Below are 27,568 nucleotides of genomic sequence, written 5' to 3' on the forward strand. Positions count from 1 at the left end.
TACACAATCGTATGGTGTAATTAGGGCAAGTGTGCTGCTTTATAGAGGAAACTGAACCATTGAAAAGTTAACTCATCAAACACGAAAGAAAGACAAATACTAATAACCATACAAAAGGAGAAAATCTGTTTTGCTGACGATCAGTGGTTCCGTAACCCTTAAAGGGGGAACTGAAATTCAAATGAACTCATCCCTCCCATTTGTACTTAGTTTTGCAAGTTAACAGCTTGTTGGTTCTCTGTTTTAAATGCCACCCTTTCTTCAACTCCAATGACACTTCATTTCTGTCAACTGAGAGAGAAGAGATGGAGGAAAAAAAAAAAAACCAGATATCATTGCCAACTGTATTTCAAACTCTGTACACGAAACCACCCAGAGACATTTTAACTTGCATTTGAGAGCCTCACCCAGGCCCACACTCCAGAATAGCTTTATAACTTTATAATCTAAGGAAGGAAAAGCCAGAAATCTCCACTCTGTGACTGACTCACACACATGCTGGAAGCAGAGTTCACAAATCTAATTCCTTTCTCCATTCCTGCACATTTTTACCCAGAGAACACAAGCGAATGGAGGCGGTCCAACCCACTCAGACAATTCCTGACAGCAGCTCCTCGTGAAAAATATTATGTTTGGGGTGAGCATTTATCCAGGAGCAGTGCTGAAATGAGATGGTGAGGATACAAATGGGGAATAAATGGCCAATGTAGAGAGAGCTGCAGAAACGAGGGTGATTATGCAGGGGCTGTCCTCTATGAATACATTAGCTCCCCAATAAGCCCACGCATTTTGACTGCTTCCAAAGCAATTTCTCAGGGTTTCAATGAATACAGATGTCTGGAAGTGTTTTCTAAGCTCGGCTTCAGACAGACTGCTCATGTCGCCAGTCCTCAAAGCCCTAGCATTAAGTCTGGGTGGTGAGTCGGGCCCCACACAGTACCTGTCAGGTCATTGCAGGCATTGTGAGATGCTCACTGTGGGTGTCCAATCTCCCCTTTAGGTCAGGGGCAAGGGCCGTCCAGGGCCAGTTGCCTGCCTGGTGGGGTAGGAGATTGAAGGAGGTTAGAGGTGAGAGGAGGGTGCATCCAAGCTGCAATCCTTCAGTGGGAATTGAGTATCAGGAATTGGAGACATCAGATGCAGACACTAAGGCCAAAGATGCCAGAGTAGGGCCAGTAGGTGGGACCAGACAGATGAGGTCTGCATGGATGTGTGAATAGGCTGGCAGTGAGGTGGAGCATCTCAGATAATCCCTACGGACACCAGTAGGCACAGGGTTCTCTCCAAGCATCGGCAAGCCTGTAGAGTGTGGGGGTGGCTGGCTGCTGAGGGTTCCCCACGGAGAAGACAGTGGGGGCCATCGTGGGGAGGACATCCTGCAGCTCTAATACTGGGTCTGCCAAGGATACTCCCTGGTCCTAGAGGTGGGCAGGCTTCCTTCTAGGACAAGATCCTTTGTTGTATCCATCATCACATTCCTGCCTAACACCAGGGGACCTAACAGGAACCTCAGATAAGAAAGAGGGCTTCATCATAGATTTATGTTTTCACCGGCCAAGGGGGAAGAGCCAGAAAGCCTAGGAATTGTTCCTGTAGGATGAGAAATAACATAGAGCCTCTTGGGGATCCATGCCATGAGCTGATTGCTGGAAAAAACTCTGTACTTTGAGGCAGGAGAATGGCGTGAGGCAGGAATGGGCTGTGGGTCTGGCTAGCACCTGGGATCAGAAAGCAGCCTGCAGTGAGCCTGGCTGCATCTTGCTGTTTATACACCCTGAGTTTATTTCTCTGGGCTATCTCTTAACAAAGTCTTTGGGAATGTTCTATGGGCCACTGTGGAGAAGACAGAGACTGTCAAAGTGAGAAATCCCAAGGGGAGCTGACTCAGGGTCACTCTTGTCCAGCCACTCTCGATGCCTGTTATTGCTTCCTAGAGCACACCTTTGCTCACTCTGATGGGCCTCAGTTTGATTTTAAAAGAGGCTGTTCCCTTGAGTTGGCAGCTTAACCTCTCCCATGCTCCCTCCCCCAGCCAAGCTGGTTCTGAAGTCCTCTTCTTCCTGAAAAGTCAAGAGGCTCCACCCTGTGTCTTCCCAATCCCAATCACACACAGGATTCAGGACTGGACATTCAGAATCAGTCTGTGACCCTCAACCTTAAACCCCATTTCTCCACCCCCAGACTCATTCACCCTGGTGGGAGCTGAGCCGAGCAGTTTGAGTGAGAAACCCCACTCACCCTGATCCCAAGCTCCACATTCTCGCCCCCGTAGACTTCCATGCCTTCGTCCAGCAGGCCGATCTCCTGGAAGTACTGCCGGTCCACAATGAAGCAGCCAATGAGGGCAGGGCTCCTGCAGGGGCAGGGGAGAGCAGAAGGGCTGTCTGGTGCAGCTGTCCGAGGAGTAAGAGCAGTAAGGCCTTCCTATCAGGAGGGTCTGGTTCTCTTCCTTCCTTTGCTGCCAGAGCCAGTGTGAGCCTTGTTCTTGGAGTGGCCCCTGGGTCTGGCCTCACCCAACCACTCCAGAAAGGCTGTTTCATCCGGGCAGTGGGTAGACAGCTGCCATCCTGGGATCAGCTATTAGTGGGGTGGTGCTTGTGTGTGTGTTAGCTTTGAGAATTGGTGCTCAGCCTGCCAGTCTAGGTTGACTGTATCTCCCGCTGCCCTGACCCTGACCTCTGCACAGCCAGTCTCTGTTCCTGCTTGGGAATGCATACCAGCTTTCTTACCCTTCCCCAACTTGGAATCTGTATGTCATCCTTGGTCTACTTAGAAAGATTAGCTGGGACCAGGTTGCAAAGGGTTTTGGGTAGCAGGGTAAAAAATTTGAATTTTATCTTCAGGTAAATAGGTGTCCATGAGGAATTTTAAGCAGGACAGTGATGTCAGCAGATCTGTGTTTTTTTCAAAAGAATAGTTAGGCAGCTGTGGGTGAGTGACCAGAGGGTAAGGGGTGGGAATTGAGGGGCCCAGCTGGGAAGCTCATTGCTGTATCCAGGTGAAAAATGATGGAGAGCTGAGTCAGAGTATCAGGAACAGAGATAGGAATTTTTTAAAGACATATTTTGATGTAAAATCAGCCCAACTTCAAAATAGATGAACTACACAAGGGTGAGAAAGGGAGAGGAATCTGGATGCCATCTGGCTTTCTGGCTCAGGTGACAGTGGGTTGGAGACCACTCATCAATACAGGGGCACAGGAGAAGAAGCTGGTTTCAAAAGAAAGAAGCATTGGTGGTGGAAAAACTGACCTTAAGGTACCTGTGTGACACACGAGGAGATAGCCAACAGGCAGAGCTTAGGTACATGGCCTGGGTCTGGAATTCAACAGGGGTCTTAGGCTGGAACAACCTGCCAACAGCTATGGGGTCCAGGAGCTGGAAGGCTTTTCCTTCCTTGAGGGCTGTGAGCTTGGGTCTCACCAGCTCTGTGAAGACACCCAGTGCAGCACCTCACAGAGAATGATTCACATGAGGTGAGTTAGCGTGAGAGCACGGGGCTACTTCTCTGCTGAGAGCCCTGCTTATGCAGTGACGTTGAATTGTTCTACTGCTTATTGCTACCATTTCTAGCCCTTGCCTGGCTGGAGGACTTGGTGGCAGTGGGGGAATAAAAGGAGAAATGAAGGCTCCTCAGGGATGAGAAAACTGTCGGTCCATCACATGCAAATGAACCCATCTTTGAAAATGGAAACTTATCAAGGTGGAGAAAGGCGATTTTGCAGGTCATTTCCCTGGGGAATGCAGATACAGGAGACTTCTGGGGCAGAGACTGACACCCTGGAGCCACTGTTTCTCTTCCTTTCAAATCACTGCATTTTATTCTAAATGGCTTCACCCTCACAGACCTGCAGGCATCCTGGGAAGCTAATCCACCACTCCTAAAGCAGACTGAGACCCTGCTGTGGTGGAGGTAACTGAACCCAGGCCTTCGAGGTAGTCTCTCTGGGAAAAATCCCCCTTCCGGATGCATGTCTCTAAGAGAAGTTCCCTAGCCTCTCTGAGCCTCCGATTCCATATCTGTAACATAGGATCTATTCTAACCTCACACGGACTAAATTAAAGCACTTGAGAGCCTCTGGGACATAACTGGCACTCAAAAGGCCATTTAAAAAGGTAAAAAGATGCAATTGTGCACTAAGTCTAGAAGATCCTCTCTTTAAATACGTGATGATTCAGAAACATCAGGCTGGCAGAGTGGGGCCTTGGCATTTGCCTCTGCATTCCTAGTGTTGGACAGGGCAGGGCACGCTGGAAAAATGCTTTCAGGACACACAGGAAGGGACCTTCCTCAAACTGACAGTTCAAGCCAGGTAATGAACAGAATCTGAAACAGTTACTCTGAGATGAGCACAGGCCACCTCAGTGGTTTATTATTAACCGGCTAGGGTATTAAGTGGATTCTATCAGCATGAAAGAGTTATCGATTTACACCTTGCCTCATTCCTGAAAGGATTAGAAATAGCTTATGAGAAAATTTAAAATACATAGAGAACCATAAATAGATAAATGTCTGGACAGACCTAAAGATTGCAACAAATTGGAATGCATGTGCAGAACCAAGGTCCTCTCTCAATTGTTCTTAAAGCAGACATGAAAGCTTGCCTTTGAGTTTCCTGTTGGTCAAAGTGGAAATGAACACACATGGTCTTAGAAACAAAATGTACAGTTCTCATGTGAAAATGTCATATTAATTGATTCCCTGGGGATAGCAAGTCTTTCTTTGACTGGCAGTCAGTTTGAAAGAAATTTCTCACGTGGATTTTCTTAATGGGGTCACCTGGCGACTTAGGGAACAGCGATCACAAAGACATCCCTTTAGAATACACCAGAAGATATTGCTGGGCTCTTTTTATGACTTACACCATGTGTGGGCAAAGCACTCAAGTATAGCTTGAAAGAAAAGGGAGCTCGGATGGGCAAGATACATTTGTATAAATCACAGCTTTCTGTGGAGCTGTCTTCATCTGGGAATAAAACCAGGAATGTTCTTCCAAAAATCTTCCATAGAAGTTATTTCCCTCAACCAAGTTTTTGATAAAAATTGGGTGATAGAAAATTTGAGGTTGAGATGACATTGTCTGGCAAGGACCTGGAATGCAGGCTTGCTGATTGAGACTGGACCAGTACAGTTAGAGATGAGCAGAACAGAAACAGTTACTGTCAATGCAGTCTTCTGCAGGAATGCTCATTGCATGGGGGCATATTTCCTTCCAACAGCATTCATCAGGCCTGGGAGCAGAAAACAGCTACACCAGTTCTGAGCTCAACAGTGGACAATAAGAGGGGTGAAAACTAGCCACTGAGTCTAGCTTCTCTGGGTGGATCCTGGCTCTACCGCCCAGAGCCTTTGGCAGGGCCATTCACCTCTCTCAGTCTTGCTCTCCTCCTCTTGTAAAACAGGGATGAGACATGAGCGGTCAACAGGTTGCGATGATGATCAAATGAGCCAATGCGTGTAAAAGACCCTTGTACATAGCAGACTGTCAGCAAATGTTTAACAACACAAAATTGTGGCAGGGGCCGAGCAGAGTAGGTATCAGGTAACTTCAGGAAAGTTAGGTGGTTTTATCCCGTTTTAAGTATGAGTATACATTTTTTCTTCTGGCAAGGAAAAATGTGATCTTAAGTAATAATCCCTGACTTTCAATTAAATTTTTCATACCCTTTCTCCCTAATATAATATAAAACAACATGAGCTTCTAATCTCTTGCACTCCAAAAACTGTACCCTAGGCCACCTTCTGGTGCCTTCTGTTTTATAACGGGCAGGACTTCGCAGGGAACATAAAGACACCCACCGTATCATCAATATAGACAGAAATAGGCCAGGCGCAGTGGCTCATGCCTGTAATCCCAGCACTTTGGGAGGCCGAGGCGGGTAGATCACGAGGTCAGGAGTTCAAGACCAGCCTGGCCAACATGATGAAACCCTGTCCCTAGTAAAAAATACAAAAATCAGCCAGGTGCAGTGGCAGGTGCCTGTTATCCCACCTACTTGGGAGGCTGAGGCAGGAGAATCACTTGAACCCAGGGGCCAGAGGTTTCATTGAGCCGAGATCACGCCATTGCCCTCCAGCCTGGGTGACAGAGTGAGACTCCGTCTCAAAAACAAAAACAAACACAGACAGAAATAAAAACTAGTGGGGACAGCTTTTGGAGGAGTCCTGAACCTTAAAAGCCGAGACCACACAAGGGAGTCATTCATGAGTCTAGGAAGATGGCAGCAAAGGCAGGAAAGAACTTGGGACCTTTGAAATGCAGTATGAAGTCACTTTTGTCTGAGTCTTACAGAATAACACTCAAATATCATCAAGGTATACACTGTCCTGTGGGGTCCGATCTTGCCTCTCAGCCCCTCCACCCCTACTGCCGGGGGCTGCTGGCTCACTTCCCACTTCTAGTGACTTTGAACCTTCTCTGTGTTCATGAACTTTGCATATGGGTGTCCATTCCCCAACCTAGCCATCTTCTACTCGCCTTCAAAAACAAGTGAAAATGCTGCCCTCTGAAAAGCATTTCCCCGCTTTCAATGCAGTTTCTGCCTGCATGGTAGAATAATGTTCCTATTCCAATGATTTTGTCTGTCTTCACTAGACTCCAGGCTTTTGGCAGTGGGAACCAAATCTTCATCACTCCGGATCCCCAACCTGGAGCACAGTGGTTGGCGCCCAGCAGACGTCTCACAGTGATGTGTGAAAATGGGTCACTTTGAGGCTGTGAATGGATTCTGAGATCTTCAGAGCCTGTGGCAGTGACTGAAGATCAGACTGCAGTTCCTTTCGACCCTGCCCACCCCTGTCATCCCCACGATGGGGCTCAAGTTGGAGAATAAGCATTGGACCAGTAGGCGGTCCCTAGCCTGGAGGTCAAAGCGGAGAGACCCACAGGTAAAGGTTTGCTTTACCTGATTGGCGCTGTGGAGTTCTCCAGCTTCCACCAGGCCTTGGGGGGATTTAGGTAGCGGCACCACAGCTCCCAGTCAAAGCCCTGGGCAGCCAGCGGGTACTCTTCTATCTCAAAGTTGTCATATTTGATGTTATCAAAGGATGGCGAGATGATCCGCTTCCGGTTCTCCTTGATGCGGGTGAGTACAGGTTCAGCCCTGGGCAGAGAGGAGACAGCCAGAGAGGGTAACCATTTCCAAGGTGGAAAAATCCAGAGTAGCATCTCCTGAAGGTCCTTCCCCAGCAGAAAGAGGAAGGAAGGCCTGCCCATCTCCTCTGATGGAGAGGTGCACTGCCTTCTGGGAAGGAGCTCCTATTCAACTTCCCGCTCCCTGAGGATTGCCGGAATGGCAAGAGGCTGCACCACTCCATTGGCATATCCAGAGCTGAGCTGAGAGATTCTTATTCCAGCCAACCTTGTGCCTGCTCGCTTTCCCTTTCTCCATTAGAAAAAAAAAAAATCAAGACTCAAAAAAGAAGAAAAAGAAGAAAGAAACAGATCTGAGGCTCCAGAAAAAGCTTTCACCTTGGGCTTTGATTTTGCTAAAATTCTATGTGTCAACCTGGAGGAAAAGACAGATGAGGATGGCAGAGACTAGGAGCTGAGAACAAACCTACATCCACCAGCCATGCGATGTTGCCCTGGAATGCCAGCTGTGCCACATCCACCCCCCAAAGCGTTTCCCAACCACCCAAGGAGGGGTGGGGCATTTGGGCTTTCCCAGGGAGCTGGGAGACCCTTGAAGGCACCAGGCGAGTAAAGTGTTTGCAGGCAGGAATAAGCTTCTCATTAATAATACATTTGGTGCATAATTGTTTATTCAAATCAGCTTGAAATAGTAAGTGTCCCTCTCCTATCCTGGCCATAAATCCAAAGAAAATGCTGTTTAAATAGTCACAAGTGGCAAGCAGGGACTTCAACTATAAAAAATGGCTGTGTTGCAGCCTTCATTTGGGCCTGTTATGGCAGCATCCAGGCCAGGCTGTGTGCACGCCCTGCTGCTCCTTCCTGCTGAAGTGCCCTTGTCTCCCACTCCCCGGGGGCACAGGTTGGCACTGTGGAGTCTGGGGAGGAGAGCAGACCCCAGTGACAACAGGCATATTGATAAAAGGGTGGCCACCTACTTGCCCCAGCTACTTATGGTCATTGCCAGAGCCTGTGTCTCCCAGGCCCAGGCAAAGTTACACACAGCAGGTGGCCCTGTGCCCTCCAGCCCTGCAGGGAGGTCTGCATCCGCCACTCTATTCCTGGCTGGCTGCAGCCACTTGGGCCTTCTGTCTGGTCCCTTTCCCCCCAGCATCTGAGCAGCTCTGACCAGAGAAAGAAAGATGTTCTTAGACAGTTTCACCATAGGGAGAATCTGAGATTACGTGCTACCTCCAATCTGGCAGTGGGAAAGCCCAGGGCACCTGTGACAACATGGGGCAAGCTTCCCCCACCTTTGCCCACTTGCTGTTGGCCCTGGCTGTGAGGCTGGGCTTCTGCCTCACGTCTGGCCCAGCTCTCCTTTCCTAGGTGTGGGAACCCTGTCCTTAGCGGGACACTCTCTGCTTTGCCCTTGGCATGTACCCTTCTCCCTGATGACCCTGCCAGCCAGAGTCACATGTGATGTCACCATGCATATTAGGCACCGTGTGCTGACCTGTTGACCCCTGGCTACCCCCTCCCCTCTACCACACCTCGAACCCTAAAGGTCCAGCCTTGTTGCCTGGCTCACTCACACACCTACATCTCACCTATTCCCAGAATTACCTCTTTTCCCTTAGGCTATGACCAAGATCCTAGCATGCTTTGCACTATTGGAGCTGAAGCCCCAGATCCCACTGGGACTCCTCCTCCTCTCCCAAGGGGCACTTACCAGCCCACATTGAACTCCACGTGGGCATCAAAGAGTGCCACCACAGGGGCAGTGGCCGCCCTCCAGCCACTGACCCTGGAGCGGATGAGGCCTTCCTGCTTGCTGTGACGCACGACTTTGATGAAGCCTGGCTTCTGGCTGTTCACCTTGTCCACATATTCGGTCAGCTTCTCCTTCAGTTCCTCTGTCAGGGAGAAAATGCAGCCTTAGCATGGGAGGGAGGTCAGGAGGCAGAGGGGGCAATCACAACAGTCACTCTTTTAGTGATGACCCCCAGAGAAAGGCTGGGGGACCCATTCCCCTCCCTGGGTCTTCTTCAGTGGTCCCCACAGTGGCCAGCACAGGTCAGTTTTGAAGGGAAAAATAGAGGGGAATATTTCCTGTATTTTCAGTATTTTCTGAGGTCCAGCAATGCACAGGGTCATATACACCACAAACAAGGTCTATTTAATCTTCACAACAAGCCAATAGGAAAATGGTAGCTCAAAAGATTTTATCAAGTTCTCCAGCATCATGCAGCTTGTGAGTGGCACAGTCCACTTTCAAACCAGGCCTAGTGACCTGAAAAGCCATCATCAGCACGGCTACCTCCTTCCTATTGGTCTCCATCTCCATCGGTGCTCCTATAACCCCCAGGGGAAGATCCCTCTGCCAAGACCCCAGCCCAGGATCCGCTCTCTGCCTGGATCTCCATCTTTCCAGGAAGTGGATGGCCAGGAGCTGTGCCCATGTGAGTAGCTGGTGTTGGTTTGCTGCCTGTGGTCCTGGACCTGGCTAAGCATTTGATGCCTCTGCTTCTTCATAACTGTAAATGGGGCCTGCAGCAACAGAAACAGGCCTCAGCAGCAGCCCCCTGAACCCTCAGCAAGAGAGGGCACAGCCACTGCATTCATTACCTTTTTCATAGCAGCTAAGGCAAGAGCCCATGACAGCCCTCACAGTTGGTTGGACAGGATTCTAAAGTTCCTTTTGAACCAAGCATCCATCCCAAGGTGTGAATTCCCTCTGTCTGCCCTGATGAGTGATCATGCAGCCCCTGCAGTAAAAGGGAAATCCATGCAATCCATTCCTTAGAGGGCCTCTTCAACTATTAGATGTTCTTCCTTCTTCTGACCTCCAAATGCCAGGGTCCCTCAATCTTACATTCATGAGTCCAATGGGACCTATTTTGGAGCCATAGAAGACAGATCAAGTCCCACTTTCCACATAACAACTGAAGCCCATTCTTAAGTCCTTGCTAAGGACTTCTCTAGGTCAAATATCTTCAGTTCTTCCTTGTGTTTCCGCATATTTCATGATTTCAAATTCTCTAATCATGTTGAACTTCCCTCTAATTAAGTTAGTTTTTCTTGAACCCTTTCATATTATGCAGAAGTTGACCTAATACTTCTAAAGTAAACTGGGCTATACAGAATAGAAGAAATAAATCACCTCCCTTAATCTAGAATCTATGCTCCTATTAATATAATCTAAAGTCACAACAACTTTGATTGCTTTTGTCTCAAATTAAGCTTACTGCTAACATATACTTACAAATTATTTTTACATGGTGCTACTAAGTCAGGCCTCCTCCATCCCATCTCTGTGGATGCGGGTGCATGTGCAGGTGCTTGTGTGTGTGTGCACACATGGGTGCCTGCTCTGAGTCAAAACAAAGAATCTTATGTTTACTTTTATTTAATCAGCCTTTCTAAAGATTTCCACTATTTCTTTGGAGGTCAAAGTGTTTTTGTCCCCTGATTTCATTACCCAATGTCTTTCTTATCCAGCCCTTCTAGGTTTCCAGCTTCTGCAAAAGTGATGAGCATATGGCCTTTCTTGTCATTCAAGTGATCCTTTTAAACAGTGTGACCCCTGTCCTAAGCTAGGGCTGGTGGGGGCTGTCAGTGTCCTCATTCCAGCCTGGAGAAAACTCGACTGACTTCTGGGCTGCCACTGACATGCTGTATATCTCACTGCAGTCCATACGGAAATGACCTCAAGATCTCCAATTGCTGCAGCTGCCTGGGGAGGTCACTGTCCCACAAATGTCAGGACATTGGCCATGGAGCAGCATAACTCAATATGTCTCACACTTACAAGGTCTTCAAGCACCGTTGCCAGGAGGCTTCTTAAAACATTTACTGTTTTATCACTTCCAAGGTCCATTTCTCATATATCCTTTTTGAAAAATTTAAATAGAGCTCATAAAGTCTGATATCTGGGTTTTTGATGGTGGCAGTTAAGTGTTGAGTGCACAGAACTTGAAGTGAGAACTGGGCTAGTACCAAATGGCCTGATACAAATCCCCTCTCTTCCCCATGAAAGGGATACCTGTCCCCTTCTCTCCCTCCTCAACCCTCAGGTGAGACTCCTGCCAGTTGACTCCTGCCAATACCTACCATGACTAAGGTATTGATGGGAGGAGGCTGAGGATGATTGCTACCAAATGGTCTCCTATGAATTTCACCTCTCTGAATTCACATCTTTGTGTGGCTGCCTCACACACTGAGTCTGGGCTGGACCGTGACACAGCAGGACACAGCAAGAGGGACCCTGCGCAAGTTCCAGGCCTTTTGCATTTGCTGTCTTGCTGCCCTAACTAAGGAAGGTCTAGGCAGCCTCTTCCCCAGCCCAGTCATTAGGCCACCCCACAAAGGCCCCAGACAGGTGAGTGAGGCCCTCGTGGATCCTTCAGCCCCAGTCGGGCCACCAGCTGATTGCAAATGACAGGGAGAGCCATTGTGTAGAGCAGAGACAGGCTGCCCAGTGATCCCAGCCTTTATTGCAGGATTCTGGGCCAATGGATGGTTGCTGATTCACACCATAACTTCTGGAATGGTTTGTTATACACAATGGCTGTAATAAACATTTTCTATTGTTCTGGTCCGGTGCTGGGGTTAAAATAAGATTGTGAACTCCTGATGCACAGGAAATGCAATCAGAGGAAGAATGAGCTTTGAGGGGTGGCAGCAAGAGATGGAAAGCTTTGCTTCCTATAGGAGCTACTTGCCTCTTTGTACCTGCGAGCTCTGTTAACACTGAGCTAGAGTAAAGGCTTCTGGTGGACCAGATAGTAGAAAAATTCCATCCCCAGTTAGTTGCATCCCAAACATGTGCTGCTGATTAGAAGAGGGAATTCTCTTAGCCCCAACCAAACAACTGCTATCCAAAAAAGAAAATAAAGAAGAAACAAAATGCCTTGAAGTACCCTAGATGATACTGGCTCTGTCTTTGCAAAGTACCTTTACTTAATTAGGTTTTCATGTTTTCTTTCAATCTTTGTTAAGTGCCAAAGCAAGAAAGAACTATCCCAAAAATACTTCTGCGTTGGCTGGAAAATTGCTTTCCAAAACACTGTCCATTGTATATTATATATATTGACTATTAACTATTTTATATACACATAAACACACACACATACCTGTTCACATATAATATCTCTCAGAACTTCTTAGCTCCAAAGATTGTGTTTTTGGAGTTGAACTTGTGTTTTTTCTTACAGCCAAACACAAGTACCCAGCCCATCATATTTGCCTTCTTGCTAAGGCTGCCAGGAAGCTCAAAGACAAATATAATGACTAATCACAAAGATTTTATCAGGATTTTTGCTGCCCTATCTTTGCTAAACCTTTGATTTTCTGGTTCAAATTTAAAAGCTGATTGACTTTTACCTTTTATTCCCTATGCAAGCTATCTTTAATTAATTTTTTGAAATTTCTATAAATAACATTTAATAAAGTGTCTTGGTGGGTTAGGACAGTAGTATAATTGTGGAAGGAAAAGGGAAGGTATATTTTGTGCTTGTTTTAATGCGTTGGAGAAAGAGGAGGCAGGGAGTCTGCTTGCTGTGACTCTGCCAGATCTAGAGTCAATGTGCAGCTGTCGATAGCCCATGTTGACAGAGAAATACAATTTGCACCCTGCATGGGGCCAGGTGTCATCCTGCTTATGTTGCTACTTCAGCTCTCTCCTACTGTCCACAAATCCCTGATCTCCTGACATTGGAGGGACCTCTGTAAACCAGCACTACCAGAAGCAGTGATGAAACACCACTCACTCCTGGGAGGTCACAGGCCACTCTCCACATCCCCACGGGGAGCCTCCTCTCCGGGCCTGCTCAGGGCAGGCTGCTTGCCAGCTCTCATTTCTTCAGACTTAGACGCCAAGGAAACACAGGGGATTCACCAGCCTGGTCAAACAGAGCCCTTCTCCCTTCCTCATCTACCCCCTTCCACTGCTTCTATAAGAAGTTGTTGGCTCCACAACCACTAGCAGGCTGAGCCGGAAGGGTCTGGCATGGAGGCTGTTAATCTGATTTAAGTACTTAATGGGACACTCCAATCTCATGCATAAAGGAAACTAAAGGATCTGAAAGTTGATGCCTAATGGGGCTTTGCTCTTTGGAAGGCAGGTGCACAGGCATTTTGTAAAACTGCCTTCCTATAGGCTTGCTGTGGAGAACCGGGCAGAGTCCTCACCTCTCCCTCAAGGTTCAGATGAGCATTTCCCACATCTTCTCTAGGTTTTGGGGACATAGAAATGAAGTGAGAGTTCACCCATTCATTCATTCATTCATTCAACAAATATTGAACACTTACTGATATGATTTGACTCTGTGTCCCCACCCAAATCTCATCTTGAATTGTAATCCCCATGTGTTAAGGTGATTGCATCATGGGGGCAGTTTCCCACACGCTGTTCTCATGATAGTGAGTGAGTTCTCATGAGATCTGATGGTTTAAGTGTGGCACTTCCTCTCTCTCTCTCTCTCTCTCTCTGTCTCTCTCTCCCTCTCTCTCCTGCCACCTTGTGAAGAAGGTGACTGTTTCTCCTTCACCTTCTGCCATAATTGTAAGTTTCCTGAGGCCTCCGCAGCCATGTGGAACTGTGAGTCAATTAAACCTCTTTTCTTTATAAATTGCCCAGTCTCAGGTAGTTCTTTATAGCAGTGCGAGAATAGACTAATACACTTACTATTAGTCCATTCATGGAGTAATAATCTTTGGCATGACTTGATCATACCTCAACAAGGTACTAATCTAGTTGCTGTGATTATAACTGTAAACAAGACAGTCTGCAATGGACTGAGTGTTTATTTATTCCCCAAATTGATTATGTTGAAATCCTAACCCCCAGTGTGATGGTATTAGGAGGTAGGGCCTCTGGGAGATTAATTAGGTCATGAGGGTGGAGCTATTATATTAGCCTGTTTTTTACTGCTGCAACTAAGAATACCTGACACTGAGTACTTTGTAAAGAACAGAAATTTATTTCTTCACAGTTCTGGAGCCTGGGAAGCCCAAGAACAAGACGCTAGCATTTGGTGTCTGGTGAGGGCCTTCTTGCTATGTCCTCAAGTGGCAGCAGGGAGAAGGGCAAGGTAGCCTAAAGCTTCAAGAATCCTCTTTTTAAAGAGCCTTAATCTCATGAACAAGGAAGCAGCCCTCATGACTTACTCACCTCTGAAAAGGCCACACTTCTTAATGTTTTCACACTGGTAATACCTAAATTTTGCAGGGGAAATACTCAAACCACAGCAGCCCTCATAAATGGGATTAGTGCACTTATAAAAGGGGCTCCAGAGAGTGCTCTTTTCCTCTTTCTGCCATGTGAGGATGAGATGTGAGCAGTCTGTGACCTGGAAGAGGGCCCTCACCAGGACCCAACCATGCTGGCGCCCTGATCTCAGACCCCCAGCCTCTGGAACTGAGAGAAATAAACATCTGTTGTTTATAAGCCACTCAGTCCATGGGACTTTGTTATAGCAGCTCAAACTAAGACACAACCCTTATGGAATATCCATGCTACTGGATGTTTAAAAGGCGTGTGGTAGAAGAGACACAGGAAGAGCATATTGGTCCATTTGTGTAGCTGTAAACAAATACCTGAGGCTGGGTAATTTACAAAGAAAAGAGGTTTATTTGGCTCATGGTTCTGCAGGCTTTATAAGAAGTGCAGTGTCAGCAGTCGCTTCAGGTGAGGGCCTCAGGCTGCTTCCACTCATGGTGGAAGGGGAAGGGGAGCCAGGATGTACAGAGATCACATGGTGAGCAGGGAGGCAAGAGAGAGTGGGGAGGCACCAGGCTCTTTATATCAGCTGTCATGGGAACTAGTAGAGGGAAAACTCACTCATTCTCCCCACCACCCCAGGGAGGGCATTAATCTATTAATGAGGGATCCACTCCCATGACTCAAACGCCTCCCATTAGGCCCCACCTCCACTATTGGGGATCAAATTTTTTTTTTTTTTTGAGACAGAGTCTCGCTCTGTTGCCCAGGATGGAGTGCAGTGGTGCAATCTCGGCTCACTGCAAGCTCCGCCTCCCGGGTTCATGCCATTCTCCTGCCTCAGCCTCCCCAGCAGCTGGGACTACAGGCGCTCGCCACCACATCCGGCTAATTTTTTGTATTTTTAGTAGAGATGGGGTTTCACCATGTTAGCCAGGATGGTCTCGATCTCCTGACCTTGTGATCTGCCCGCCTCGGCCTCCCAAAGTGCTGGGATTACAGGTGTGAGCCACCATGCCCGGCCTATTGGGGATCAAATTTTAACATGAGATTTGGTGGGGACAAATATCCAAATTACAGCAGAGAGGGAGAGTAAGCAGGAAATGCTGTGGAGTTACCATCTACAGAAGTAGTTGTCAATTAGGGGGAGGAATTGGGGCATGAATACCCCATGGGTGAACTGAATTTTATCCCCTTAAATTCATATGCTGAAATCTGAAACCCTAATACCTCCGAATGAGACCTTATTTGGAAATAGGGTCATTGCAGATATAATTAGTTAAGATGAGATCATACTGGAGTGGGATAGGATCCTAATCCAGTATGACTGGTATTCTTAAAAAAAGAGTAGATCTGGATGCAGACTGAGGTAGGAAGTCATGTGAAGAGGAAGGCAGAGACTGGAGTGATGTATCTCTAAGCCAAGGCCTGTCAAAGATGGCCAGCAAAGCACCAGAAGCTAGGAGAGGGGCATGCAACAGATTCCCCCTCATAGTCCTGCTGGCACCTTGATTTCAGACTTCTAGCCTCCGGAAGTATGAAACAATGTCTGTTGGTTAAGCCACCCAGATGGTGGCACTTTCATTACAACAGACATAGGAAATGAGTATAACCCAGCTTCCTCACTTATCAGGTGGGATGACATTGCAGAGTCTCCAAGTCTCCTGGTGGTTCCCAGGATGATAGAGTCCAGGTCCCCACAGCAGTACCATGTTCATTGATGCCCATGGTATTAGCTTTCTTCTCTTCTGTCTCCCATCCCCACTCCCTCATCAGTTTTCTAGGATCATCTACCAGTTAAATTACTTGGCCCCAAATCTTGTCTCAGGATCTCCCTGGCTTCTGGGAAAGCTAAACTAAGACAGTTGTACATTCCAAGTCACCAAGGGCCCCACCAATTGCTTCACACTTGCCTGGTTCTTGAAAGCATTTAAATTTTCAACTCTTGACCTATACGCATAATGTGTATGGATGTGTGTTTGATGGCTTAAATTCAAAATATTGACCCTATTTCTCTCTTCTCTCAATCTCTGCATTAATTGGATAAAAGAAAAAATGGTAAATATAGTATACTATCCGTTATTCTAAGTATTTGGTATATGTTATCTCATTTAATCATTTCAACAACCCTAAGATATAGCTCCTATTATTATCGTTCTATTTTGAAGACAAGGAAATTAAGGCACAAAGTGATCCAGGTAGCAAGTGGTGAAGATAGGATTTAAGTCCAACTAGGCTGTCCCCAGAGTCCATACTGTCCACCTCTACACTCTATCCTGCCTCCCAAGAATAAGAAGCTGGCCTGCATAAGAATCAGCTTGTTGAAATCGCAGGCTCCAGAGTACCATCCCAGCAAAGAGTCTGATTCAATAGATCTGGGGTGGGACCAGAGAATCTGAATTTCAAACAAGACTCTCCAGGTGAGATTCTGACGGATGGGCCAAACTTGGTTACAACTGAAATACAAAGGTGGGCTTTATAACGGAGTACAAAAAGGCACCTCCTGCCAAATACGTGTGGTTCCAGCCCATAACACAAGGATGTAAATGCAGTCTGAAAACGGCTGCCTCACACCTGCCCAGGTAATTTTTCTCTTCATTCTTCCAAACCCACTGGCCCCATCTTGCTGCCCTCAGTTGCCGGTCCTTCCCTTTCCAGCTGCTTTTCGTTTCTCTACTTGGCCATCTTTGGGTCTGATGTTTTGGACTGTCCCCTGTCATTTCCCAGCTGCCTTCTGCAGAGGCCACGGCTTTTTGTCCCATTGTGGCCACACCCCTCCTTCCTGGCTCAATGCTGCTCCTCAAAGCCCGGCCTGGATTATACCTTTGCCACCCCATCCCTCCAGTTGCCCAGGAGGGGAGTGGGAACACCCCACCCACACCCCCACTAATCCACCTCCCACTGACAAGTGCAATTAATTGCTTGTCTCCAATGGTGCTAATTTAAAGATTAAAAGTGTGTTTATTCCTTTCCAAGTGAAAAGTGGCTTGTCTTCTTCAGATCAGAAGATTAACTGGCTTTTCTCTGAAGCCATTTAGGGCCATTGAAACACAAATGCTATGTCAACACATTTTAAAGGAGAGATTATTTATGAGGATGCAATGGTTGTCAAACCTAGCTGATCATCCACATCACATCACATGGGAAGCTAAAAATTAAATAAAGACAGATGTCACCGTCCGCACCTCCATGGAGAATCTGGAGTGGGGGCTCAGGACTCAGATGGTCCTGCTGATGAATGATGGTGAGCCTGGCTTGGGCAGCTGGGATCCCGGAGAGCTCCGGGCAGCATTGCTGCGTGTATTCCTCTGTCTTGAAGATCACTCCAGACAAGCTTTCAAACCCTGGGCAGTTTACAAATGCCTTCCCCGAGGTTCATTCTTATGTCTGCTACACTTAACAGCTGCACTTCTGTCCAGCTCATGTAATAGCTGCACTTCTTCAAAGTCGATTGATACTAAAGGAGATTTGGAATGGCCTTAAATAGTTCCCTTACTCAGGCTACAGGGTTCAGGCACACAGTGTTACAATCTTCCTGGGAAGCTGCAAACATTAATTCAGCCTTATCAAGTTACAGAAAGTCCCAGATTTACCACCTAATAGGCCCCACCCATCTGTTTTAAAGTCTACTCTTTGGTGTCACAGTAGGGCATTCGTGGCCACCAAAACCCACAAGGAATATGCACCCCATACTTAGCGGGGTCGCCAAAGCCAGGCTCTCAAAACCCACAAACACCTTCTTATCAGTGCCAAAATGGCTTATTCTCCCTAAGATGTTATATCTTGTAAAAAATGGTCAGAACTGGTTTCTGAAGATGACCGTGGCAGGTTATAGAAAAATGTTTACCTGACCAGTTAGGAATGTGTTGTGTTCTAACCAAAGTTTAACACAGTCTCCCTTTCTTCCTCTCTCTCTCAAATTAAGACAAAATAAAACAAACAAAAAACCTTGAGTTCTAATGTTTGCCACTGCCTGTGGTATAGATGCTTCCACCATTGCTGATTTCAGGCTACCAGCCTGACGCCACTGAGTCTGAGTTGGGAAGAGATGTGCAGAGTTGGGTGAGGATGTGCACGATGAGCTCGGCTAGTCCAGGTCAGCCCCAGCGCTGGTCTAACGCCCAGGGCTGGTCTAACGCTCTGTGACCCTTCCCCTACACCACATAATGTGCACTGTGCTCAGCACTTCAGATCAATCCATCCTTTATTCATTCACTCAACAATGATATATTATGCACATATGATGTGCACCACTTAAGAGCCTCACCTCGTTACCACCCTGCAAACAATATTTATAGCTAATGCTTATTTATTTATCAGGTGCTGGGGACTGTTCTAATCCTGCTTCATTTATTACTCATTCAGAACTCTCAGCAACCATAATGCTACTCAAGGTAGGTAGGTAGCATGACTATTTCTGTTCCATAGATGAGGAAACACAGCCCAGAGAGGCTAAAGGATTTGCCCAGTATCACAGAGCTAGAAGATGGCAGAGCTGAAAAGCAAACCCAGGCAACCTGAAGATAATAACCTCATTATTATCTTCAAACGGCAAATGGGAAAAATCAAGGATGAGAGACTTTAAAGAACATATTCCAAGTAACACAGAAGGTAAGGAAGGAGCAGGATTCGAACTCAGGCCTGCTTGCCTCTGAAGACTTGGCTCTTTTCCAGTCTGTCCAGCAGCCTTCCGAAGGAGTCAGCTTTGTAGGCTCAACAGAAGCTCTTCCCCTGGGACCATAACTCCGTGTCCTCTATTTGTCCACCTTGAGTAATTTAGCAAATGGGAATGAGAATAATGAACTAATAGAAGTCAGTGTCTTTGCTGACTAAATGACCTTGGCAAAGGGCCACCTCGCCTTTGTACTTCCTGGGGCTGTGTGAGGAGGAAAATCCTGTAAAGTAAAGGTGGGGCAATGGACCAAACACTGTGAAATTACTTACAGAGCAAGAACTACTCCTGCTACTCTGAGGAGGGTATGCAGCAGGAATCACAGGACTTACTAAAAATGCCATGATAGGTGACTGATGTCAGCTGTGTCCAGGCAGGAGTGGACGCTGCTCCAGCCCCAGCTCCTCCAGCTTAGGAGTACTGAGAAGAGTCCTCCCATGAGCTTCTAGGGAGGGCGTACCAAGAACTCAAAGCCTTGGGAATTGCTGGCAGATAGTGTTTAATAGCAGGTGATATCAGAGCTGAGAACAAGCTGTGTGGACGTCCCACTGTGCAAAGGGAATTCCAGGAGGCCCAGGTCCAGGTCCTCCTGCCCTATGTGTGAGCACTCAGGAAGGTCCAGTGCCCTTAGCAGTTAAGCCAGAGGCCAACTTGAATTTTGGTGCTGGCTTCTCCTTTTTTGCAAGGCTTAGAGTTTAGAGTGCTGCCGAACTCAAAAATTTGATGATCCTAAAATCTCATGACTGAGAGCCCAAGAGTTTATGATTCTGAATCCAAAATTTCAAAATTCTGAAATTTTTAGAGTCTCTGATTCTTAAATACTAACTCCCAGGATTCTGAGATCCCATGAGTCTAAGCTCCTGTAAATGCCAGAGTAATCACTCTAGGCTGTGCTCACCACCATCCTACCCCCAGTCCCCACCACCAGTTGTTCATGGCTTACAAGGTCAAACATCCTGGTCCAGCCTTCTCTGCAAGACTGTGTGCTCGTCATTTTCCCAAATGCACTAAGCTCGGTCATGCTAGAGTGCCCTTGCACTACCTGCTACCTCCACCTGGAACATTCTTCTCGCCTCCCCTGTCCCAGCTCAGCTTCTGTAGGAAGCTTTTCCTCACCTGCAGCTCTAGAAGGGGATGGGTTTTTCCTTGGGGCAAAGACACAGGGGACTAGAAAACATACACCAGGCAACCAGTGAGGGCCAACCTCAGGCCCTGAGCTCCATCTCCTTCCAGGGCAGCTCCGAGCATCCTCTGGGGGAAGAGTTAAGGCTCCCACAGGCTGTATGTCAGCTCCACACTCCTGCAAATCACTGCTGCTCAGGCTGTGTGACCAGGGGCCTCAGCCTGGCTGATTCATGACTCAGGAGACCCGGAGGGCTTCACACATGTACTTACACCTAGCCTGATCTTGTCAGTGGGGAGGTGGAAGGACCTTTTTCTCTGCTTCAGAACACCTTCCAGCAATGTATTCTCAAAGGGAGGGGTCCCATGAAGGACCAGTGAAAAAGCAGAACCCAAGTGTTCTCCTGGCCTTCCCGTTTTTCTTTCTTTATTGAAATATGTCAAGTAGAACAGTAGGAACAGAGGCTTAGGGAGAGACAGGCCTCAATTTAATCCCCAGCTCTGCCATTTACCTTGACTTTGGGCACAAGACTTAAACTCTCTGAGCCTCAGTTCTCTCTTCTACCTATTTGGGTCGCTGTGGAAATCCACAAGACAATGCCTGGCATGTTGTGAATGCTTCACAGCTGGTGCCATTACCTGCTCATCAGTCTGAACTCCTTTGCTCCCTTCCTCCTTTCCAAAGGAAGGTCCCTAGGCTGGGTGCAAGCTTTCACCCTCTGTCCTGCATTTCTGAGAAAGCCAGCCCTGCAGCAAACTGCCCTGGGACATCCCCAGGTGCAGGACACAGTTGCTGCTCTTCAAGGGCCACTTACCACCTAGCCACTCTGATTCAATTTCCAACCCCTTCCCATCTCAACCTGCATCTATTTATTTAACAACCCCTTAACAGTGATTTCTATGTGCAAGGTACTCCTAAGATCTTTATTTGTATTGCCACTTAGCCCTTATGATCACTCTATTAGGTAAGTACTACTAGTAACCCATTTTATAGATGAGAAAACTGAGGCATGGTTAAATAATTAGCAAGTGGTAGAGTCCACATTCTAAGTTCAGCACTTTGGCTCCAAATTCCATGCTCTTAATACATTTCCTGTCTATGGGACCAAGGGCAAGAGGGTGCATTTAATGGGCATCCACCCAGGCTTTGCACTAGGCCCTTTACAAATGTCCTGCCAGCCTCACTTTCTGATTTAAGGCAGATGAAAAAATAAAGGAAGGCTAATGCTATCTTTTTTTCTCATTCACTGCAATCTCCTGAGGCAGGAATCTTTATACTCTTAGGCCCGTCTTACAAATGCGCAAAATGAGGCTAGGAAGAGGGGGCCAGGGTATTTATATATCGATTCCAGCAGTCATTGGTTAAGGACTGCTCCAGGGGCAGGTTAAGTTCCAAAACATCCAGTCTGTCCTGTGCAAGGCACAGCAACCTTCCAGGGCTTTGAAGAAAGCCCCCAGATAAAGAGAAGCAGGCATCTGGGCAACTGGAAGCGCTGTGCACACCTAAGAGGTAAGGCCGGAGCCATACCCCAGCCCTGACAGATCTGCTACGCCGAGCCTGGCATGTGGCAGAGGTGCCACAGGCGTGTGTTTCGTTTTCATAAATATGCATTGCAAGAATGAATGAGTGCATGAGTCATGTCTTGGCTCAACGCTTTCTAATGACCAACATTTATACTCCTCCAGGAAGACTTTAGTACTGTTTTTCTTTGGTTTCCTCTGCCCTTTGGCCCTGTATCCCTCATTATGCATTGAATGTTCCACTGGACTGTGAGCTCCTTAAGGAGGGACCTATGGTTTTACCCTTCTCTGTATCCAGAGAGCCGGAGCCTGGCATTCAGTAGAGGTTTATTGACTACATGGATTCATGGCACATGGGACAGAAATCCTCATATAAAGGTTTTGAGGACCTCTCTGGAAAATACGCAGAAAAAAGCTGATGGGCCCACTGGTAAGCCTCAGAACTACCTTGGAGTTAAAAAGTCACCATTTAGCCTGTAATCCCAGCACTCTGGGAGGCCGAGGCAGGCAGATCACCCGAGGTCGGGAGTTCAAGACCAGCCTAACCAACACGGAGAAACCCTGTCTCTACTAAAAATACAAAACTAGCTGGGTGTGGTAGCGCATGCCTGTAATCCCAGCTACTCAGGAGGCTGAGGCAGGAGAATCGCTTGAACCCAGGAGGCGGAGGTCGTGGTGAGCAGAGATCGCGCCATCACACTCTAGCCTGGGCGACAAAAGCGAAACTCCTTCTCAAAAAGAAAAAAGAAAAAAAGTCACTGTTTATGTGGAACCTTCTTTCTGAAGTTTTTAGCACTTGGCACAGGTTCTGACACATGGTGAACATGGGCTCACCAAGTTTGTTTCACACACAATCCCCATTCAATCCTTTTGGGACTCTGCAAGTTCAACAGCATTACAGCCATCTTTTTAAATTTTATTTTTAATTATTATGGATACTATAGCCATTCTAACATAAGGAAATGGAGGCTCAGCAATGCTAAGATTTTTTCCTAAAGTCATATAGCTAAGGAACAGTAGGTTCCATCCCAGGGATCATGGGGCAGGTCAGTCAGACTTTGCCATCTTTCCTCCTAAAGGTCCATGCCGACCTTTCTTAGAACCTCTGCATGCTCAGTCTCCTGGAGGGGGTCACTGAAACCAACAGTAGAAAGTGTGGGAAGGCAGGGCAGGGCATGTCCAGACAATGGGAGCAGGCAGTCCAGCAGCGAAGTGGGTGGGGCTGACCCTCAGTTTGGGGATGCCCAGCCTCAGACTTGAAACAGCACCCATGGGGTCTGGGTGTGGGGTGGGCCAGCACTGCCCCCCAGGACAAAACCTTTCTTATCAGCCCTGGGGTTACTGATGGGACTGGAAGGGATTGGTATTGAGGGAGACTCTTAAATTCAGACTTTGGTCCCAGGTGGGCCACTGTCCATGTTCCCGGGCTCCTAAGTGGGCTGAGAGTTTACTAACTGCTTGAGTCTGGTTAGGCTGCTGCTAGATCCCAAATGTAGAAAAACAAATGACTTCTGGAAACCTTGTGTATTTTTCTGTTTGTTTGTTTGTTTGTTTGCTTTTAAGCACAGAGTCTAAGGCTAAAGGCATGCCCTTGTCAGCTTTCAGCATGAACTGCCAACATCAGCCTGTTTCTAGGCCCCGGCCCAGGCCATGTGGGCTTCCTTGCTCTCCTTGCATATGCTTTTCTCTTCCTTTAAAGCCACCAAAGGCAGAGACCCGTGTCCCTGAGATGCTATCAGAATGCCAGGCATGGGCTGCCAGTAGAGGAACATCAACAGCTAGCTCAGAGACATCAGGACAGGTGGGATGGACAACCTTGCCCAGGAGCTGCCCTCCAAAGACTGCCAAAGACTATCAGCCCATCTTCTCACTGCGCCTTTCAGCATTATTGATTTTTTCCAGATCCCTCTATTTCAGGAACATACATCGTCATAGTCCTCTCATGAGATTTACTTTAGAAAACTCAAGAAATATTACTTCCCTGGTAGACATGCCCCCAAATATCAAAAATATTGCTCCTTCTCACTTCATGTCCTGTTTGTGTTCCTTTCATTCATGTGTTCAACTGGCAGATATTTACTAAGCACTGGGTGTGCGGCAGCCCTGATGCCAAGCGGTGGAGACGGGGAGTAAGTCAGTATCCACCTCTTAAGAAACTCGCAGTTTAGTGGGAAGAAAGAATTAAACCAGTAACTTGAATGCACTGAAATATGTTCTAAAAGTGGTTGTCACAAGGTGCTATGAAAATACAGCGCAGGATGTGACAACCTCTGCAGGGGATTCAGGGCAAGTTTTACAGAATGTTATTTGCATTTGTCTCAATGGATGGATGAAGGGGCTTTCCTAGGAGGATAAAGGGGGCATTAAAAAACCATCACAGGTAGAAAAACAGAATGCATAAAGGCTAGAAGCATGAATGTGCATGGCATGCTTGAGAAGGAGTAACAGATGTGGGCTATGGCTGAGTGTAGGGATACAAATTCAATTTGGGAGAGGAGGTTGGATAAGTGAGTGGTAGAGAGATTGTGAGGGCCTTAGAAGATGAGCCAAAAAACATTAGGAAGTCATAAGGAAGCTTTGTTTGGATTCCTCCCACCTAAAGGTCTCCAAGAGATGAACTGAAATGTCAGGAAGAACTTTTCATCAATTTCTTAATTAAAAACTCTACTGTAGCAGCAGAAGGAACTGGCCCACTCTAGAAACCTAAGGAGGTGAGGTTTTTGTTTTATGTTGTTTCCCCCCAAATAACACAAGTCATGGGCTCCTCACTAAGCTCCACGCCTCAATCATGGCCTCACTAGGTCTCTAACAAGGGCCCTGGCCCATTGCTCGAGACAGCATCCAGGACAGGGATAGATATAATTAGAGGTGGTACCGACAGGCGGGGTCTGGTCCTCTGCCCTGATTCTTGATCCCTTCCTGACTACATCCTGGCTTTCCCTGGCACCGTAATGGGTTCCTCACTTCCCCTGAACATTCTGAGTTAGAGTAGCCAGGCCTGATGCTCTCACCATGGAAACGACTCATAGACCACCCAGGTGAGAGGCTGGGCTGGCCCAGCCAGGGAGCAGGGTCTGACATGCTGTTAGGGACCCAGTCTGAAGACAACTCAGCACACAGACTCAGCTCTGCGGTATAAGGCAAAGTTGATCTCCAGGTTCAGAACTGGGGTTATCATCTTTCCTGAATATTCATTCACTCATTCAGCAAAAATGTGGATGACACAGTGCCAGGCACCCATCTTTAAGTAAGGTTCAGGCCCTGTCAACCTGGGCCTTGTGAGGTCCCACAGTTGGAAGGTTGGGCATGGCTGGTGTCCCCATGCCTCTATGACAAGTTTACAATGCTGCTGGCCCAAGAGAGCCACAGAAGACAGCCTGGTGATTGGTAATGAAGTGATCGTGTCCAACCAGGAGCAGAGGAGCCAAGAGGAAACAGGAAGAAGGAAAGGGGACAGGTGGCCTTGGCCTGCTTCAGTGCCCACTGTGTGGCAGGGCCTGTGCTTCGTCTGCATCAGCTCATTTAATCTGCATATGTAGCAGGGCCTGTGCTAGGGGCTTCACCCACATTTGCTCATTTAGTCTTCACAATGATCCCATGAGATGGGGAAACTGAGACCCAGAGCCTATAAGGATGGTGAGGAGGCAACATCAGGGACCTCAGGGAGCTTTAGGTGTTCCTGCATGAGGCAAGGGCCAATTGATGTGTGGCAAATAGAAGTGGCCACTGCACTTGAAGGGGAGGTGAATGAACCTAAAAAACCACTTTCAACAAGGTATCTCCCTGCAGAGCGGAGGTAATGATGCAAAGAAAAGAGAGAAGGAAGGAGGCCCATTGGGAGAAAGACCAGCAGGACAGAAACAAGCAGCAGAGCCGAAATGAAGAAAGGGAACCTCACTCTGGATGAAGGAAGATGGCACGAAGGATGGAGAGCAGGCTCTGAAACGCTGGGGAAACAGGAGGGGAAAGCTAGACCTTCTGTAGGCAAAGCACACTGACCATGACCACGATGCAAATGTCAACTAATTAAAAAGAGACTCTCAGAACCAGTGGGCACAAGGACAGCTGTTCCTGGCTACTGCTAAGTGGTGGAGATGGGGAGGGGAGAGGGAGGGGGGACACAGCCAGGTGGGAGAGGTGCCATTTTCCTGGGGTACAGCTGAGCCTTACCCAGCAACAACCACTTCCCTCTGTTGCTGATCCCCATGGGGCTGAACAGTCCCAAAGAGTTAGAGAGAAAAGTCTTTAAAGTCTGGGCAGGAAACCGAGGAACTCGGATAGCTGTGTGATACATTCATTGCTTTTTTCTCACCGAATTTGAAAGAGCAAAGAACTGGCACGACAGCGGCTGGGTCTGTCAGTGGTGTTCGCAAACAGTGTTTGGCTTTCTCGATTCTGGCCTGGGATCCACAAGACATGGATCAAGAAGGGCAACATTTCGAGAGGTGAGGAAGAGAGAGTTTGCTTAGAGATTAAATGATGTCATCAGCAGTGGGGGGAGGAGAAACGCATGAAATGGGTTACTATGGAGAGCTGCAGGGATGATGGAGAAAGAATTCACGTGTGGGAGGTACCGATGAATCAGACGAGGAAACTATCCAGATGGGAGCTGAAAACAAAACTTCCCTCCTCAGAAGTCTACATAGCAACACGGACAGCTTGGTAACAAACAAAGAAAATGGAAGCCAAGCGTGGGGATGATCTCATGGCAATTGCAAAGATTTGCACGCGGGACTCCAGTCTGGGGCAATAGTGTGGTTGGGGGCAGTAGGGATTAACGCCACCTAATCTAAGGGTGAAAGTGTTTGGTGAGGTCAAAAGGGAAGAAGAACAGAGGTGAGAGCTCTGGATCTCTAATCTGCAGTTGATGCTCTGACCAGATGGAGGGAGAGAGAGGCTGTATTTCTGGCCCGCACTGCAGCATCAGTGGGGAGGAAAATAGGGAGGGTCTTGGCTGCCAAAGGAAAGGCTTTCATTCCAGTCAAAGCAGGGTGCTGGACAACTTGCTGAGCTAACAACTTCCTCTCCCAGTGGCTGGAGAGAATGATGCCATAGTTCTCTCCCCTGTGCATCTTGGGGGTCTCTGGGAGTCAGAGGAAACCTAGGAGTCTTTTCCTGTGAACAAATGCACCCCCATGGCAAATGTGTGCAGACACACACATATCTACATACACAGACCCCCTTTTGCCTTTTTCGGGGTATTTAGGAGGTCTCCAGAGACCACCCATGGTTCTCCTAGGACTCTGCAGGCAGGCTCTATTCAAAGCCTTTTGGTATTCTGGGCTTATCAACTCCTATCACCCACAAAGAATTGAGTGGTGAGGTGGAATGTTGGGAACTGTAAGGGAAATGCCCGTGTCTTTTCACAGTGCCTGCTTGAGAGAGAAGGGGAGGCCAGGTATTCACAGAGCCTGGGTTTTAGTAGACAGATATCAAAGAGTGTATGGGAAAGAAATCTGTGGATTGTAGGCTTTGGGAGGAGATTCTCAAAACCAAAATTCTGCTTGTATAACCAGTGATGATCCAAAGCAGGAAGAAAAAGGGAGGAAACCCAGAATAATTAGGACCTGGAGAACTCTTGAGGACTTTTATTTTTTGAGACAGGGTTCACTCTGTTGCCTAAGCTGGAGTGCAATGGCACCATCTCGGCTCACTGCAACTTCCACCTCCCCGGTTCAAGTGATTCTCATGCCTCAGCCTCCCAAGTAGCTGGGACTACAGCCGCCCACCTGCCACCATGCCCAGATAATTGTTTTTGTATTTTTAGTAGAGACAGGGTTTCACCATGTTGGCCAGGCTGTTCTTGAACTCCTGGGCTCAAGTGATCCACCTGCTTCAGCCTCCCAAAGTGCTGGGATCACAGGCATGAGGCACCACACCCGGCCCACAAGGGCTTATATTTTTAAAAGGGCATAGAAAGAAAATAGAAAGGAGATTCAAAATTGCAGTTGATTGGGCT

The 27,568-nt window shown here is 47.5% G+C and overlaps 1 protein-coding gene across 6 annotated transcripts in view, besides 1 other annotated feature; it reads right to left on the reverse strand.

The window, feature by feature from the left end:
- The window catches only part of GALNT18 (polypeptide N-acetylgalactosaminyltransferase 18), a 351,129-nt gene that overhangs the window by 99,400 nt on the left and 224,161 nt on the right, over positions 1–27,568 (reverse strand). For 5 of the 6 annotated variants that reach the window (NM_001363464.2, NM_198516.3, XM_011520071.4 and 2 more), the window contains exons 4-6: positions 8,805–8,988; positions 6,906–7,103; positions 2,239–2,353 (exon numbers count right to left, since the gene is read on the reverse strand). In NM_001363464.2, the coding sequence (NP_001350393.1) occupies positions 2,239–2,353; positions 6,906–7,103; positions 8,805–8,988 (497 nt within the window). Of the gene's footprint in view, positions 1–330; positions 1,037–2,238; positions 2,354–6,905; positions 7,104–8,804; positions 8,989–27,568 lie in introns of those variants that run through there. The other variant, XM_011520069.4, reaches the window with a different exon arrangement.
- Positions 8,186–8,685: an enhancer, noted in NCBI's record as "H3K4me1 hESC enhancer chr11:11400009-11400508 (GRCh37/hg19 assembly coordinates)". NCBI's record gives its function as "activates a minimal SCP1, AML or CMV promoter by ChIP-STARR-seq in primed H9 embryonic stem cells {active_cell/tissue: H9 hESC(primed)}" and the evidence as "EXISTENCE:reporter gene assay evidence [ECO:0000049][PMID:30033119]".

The sequence above is a fragment of the Homo sapiens genome, chromosome 11 (assembly GCF_000001405.40).
Source record: "Homo sapiens chromosome 11, GRCh38.p14 Primary Assembly".
In the NCBI taxonomy this organism is placed as follows: domain Eukaryota; kingdom Metazoa; phylum Chordata; class Mammalia; order Primates; family Hominidae; genus Homo; species Homo sapiens.